The sequence below is a fragment of the Homo sapiens genome, chromosome 5 (assembly GCF_000001405.40).
Source record: "Homo sapiens chromosome 5, GRCh38.p14 Primary Assembly".
In the NCBI taxonomy this organism is placed as follows: Eukaryota; Metazoa; Chordata; class Mammalia; order Primates; family Hominidae; genus Homo; species Homo sapiens.
This window is the reverse complement of record NC_000005.10, coordinates 111,174,186-111,176,615: the sequence shown is the minus strand read 5'-3', so window position 1 is coordinate 111,176,615 and position 2,430 is coordinate 111,174,186.

Genomic DNA, 2,430 nt, shown 5'->3' with positions numbered 1-2,430 from the left:
GTTCGAGACTAGCCTGGGCAACATAGTGAGACCTTGACTCTACAAAAAATGCACAAAATTAGCCAGGTGTGTTGGCCCATGCCTATAGTCTCAGCTACTTGGGAGGCTGAGGTGGCAAGATTGCTTGAGCCAAGGAGGTCGAGGCCGCAGTGAGCTGAGATTACGCCATTGCACTCCAGCCTGGGTGAGACCCTTTCTTAAATAAATATGTAAATAAAATTGAAAATTAAAAAGAAAATATTTGGGTCTGGGATTTGGCTTGGCCCTACTTACAATCTACTAAGTCAACTGATTACTGATTTCATAGATGCTTTATAGAAAACACAAGGTTTGCATGTCAGAAAGGATTTTATCACTCACACCACAAGGAGCATGAGCATTAGCACAGTTGCTTTGATTTCTCTTGCTGTACTTGCCAGAGTTGCACCTCGGAGGGATCCAGATGGATTCTATATACATAGTGAGACTGTATTTCACCTGAGGAAGACTAAACTTAGGGATTCCACTACTTTTATAGTGAGTAGTAACACGGCCTTCTCTCTGGCTCTAAGAGAAAATTTTAAATTAATAAATAAATATATAGTTTGTGAGAAGTTCTGTGAAAAAAGACAAACAGGAATTCAGTAGCTCAGCAAAGAGTTGGGGTAGAGTTTTCTCAGAGCAAATTATTCCTTAACTCATCAAAAGATAAATTGGAGTTAATCACAAGATTGAGGGACAAAGGTGCTAAATGGCATTCAGCTAAGTGACATTCAAAAATATGCTTCATTGGCGAGGACCCCAAGTAGTTCAGATGAGTGGGAATGGGGAATGTAGGAGAGGAAGCAACTGTTGAGGGAGGAGTTGGCTGAGTCAATGTTCAAATCATGGAGGAGGATCTTCTATGCTCAAAAGGGGATTGACAGAACGGATTTGTCTGAGGCAAGAATGATCTTTCAAATGGGAGATGTGTTGGAAAATGAGGAGACAAACAGGTCACTTAGGAGGCTGGTGAAGTAATCTAAAAAGAAATGATAGCAGTAGAGATGGAGAGTAAACATACCCTACACATTCTAAAGAGATGAAATATATAGGTCCTGGGATAGGTAGGGAAGGTGAAGTCACAGCTGAATTTCAGGTTTCTGTTTTGTCTTCTGGGAGAATTTACTGGGAAAAGAATTTAAAAGAGGTACACATTTTTATAGGAAATAATGAGTAGTGTTTCACATTTGTGTTTGTAAGATGTGAGGTGTCTAGGTTCAGCTGCCCAATAGACAAAGGATTCAGGAAAAAGTGTGGACTGGAGACAGTTATTGGAGCCCAGAGACCAAGTGAATTCTAATGAGAGTACATAAAGTGATGAGTCCTTGGAAAGAACTCTAAAACATACCAACATTTAGGGGAACATTTATAGAAGAGAGACTAAAACTAATAGAGAAGGAATGATCAGAAGAAAACTTGACAAGAATAGTGTTTCAGAAATTGAGAGAATATTTTTAAAAAAGAAGAAGACTGGCAAATGCTACAAAAAAACAACACAAAGACAAAGAAATTCTGTCTTGAATTTCACAATAATAAAATAAAGGATGATGCTGGCAAGGGCAGCAATTACCTTAGCTACCATGTGGCAGTGGGGTGGAAGCTCCATGTTACAGTGAAATGGAAGGAGAAAGTAGAGAGAGCAAGGGTAACCATTTTTTTAAATTTTATTTTATTTTAAGTTTCGGGATACATTTGCAGGACGTGTAGGTTTGTTACACAAGTAAATGTTTGCCATGGTGTTTTACTGCACGTATCAGCCCATCACCTAGGTATTAAGTCCCACATACAGTAGCTATTTACCCAATGCTCTCCCTCCCACCCCACTACTCCCGACAGGCTCCAGTGTGTGTCGTTCCCTCCCTGTGTCCATGTGTTCTCATTGCTCACCTCCCACTTAGAATAGGCGGTGTTTGGTTTTCTCTTCCTGTGTTAGTTTGCTGAGGATTATGGGTTCCATTCATGTCCCTGCAAAAGACACGATCTCTTTCTCTTTTACAGCTGCATAGTATTCCATGGTGTATATGTACCACATTTTCTTTATCCAGTCTATCATTGATGGTCATTTGGGTTGACTCCATGTCTTTGCTATTGTGAAGAGTGCTGCAATGAACATACAAGTGTATGCATCTTTATAATGGAATGATTTCTATTCCTTTGGGTATTTACCCAGTAATCTATTCCTTTGGGTATTTACTTAAAAGTAATCTTTTAAGTATGCAGGTCAGACAAAAGTCAAGTTATCTGCATCCTTTCGACAACTGATTTTGAACTAGGATTAGCTATATTTAATCATTTAAAAATCTTAATGCTCAAGGACTAAGGTGAAATAGGATAAATAACCTGTCTAAGTTTATGTGACAATGTTGGGATTTAAATTAGGCCTTCTGTAACCTGTGCTCTTAACCCCCA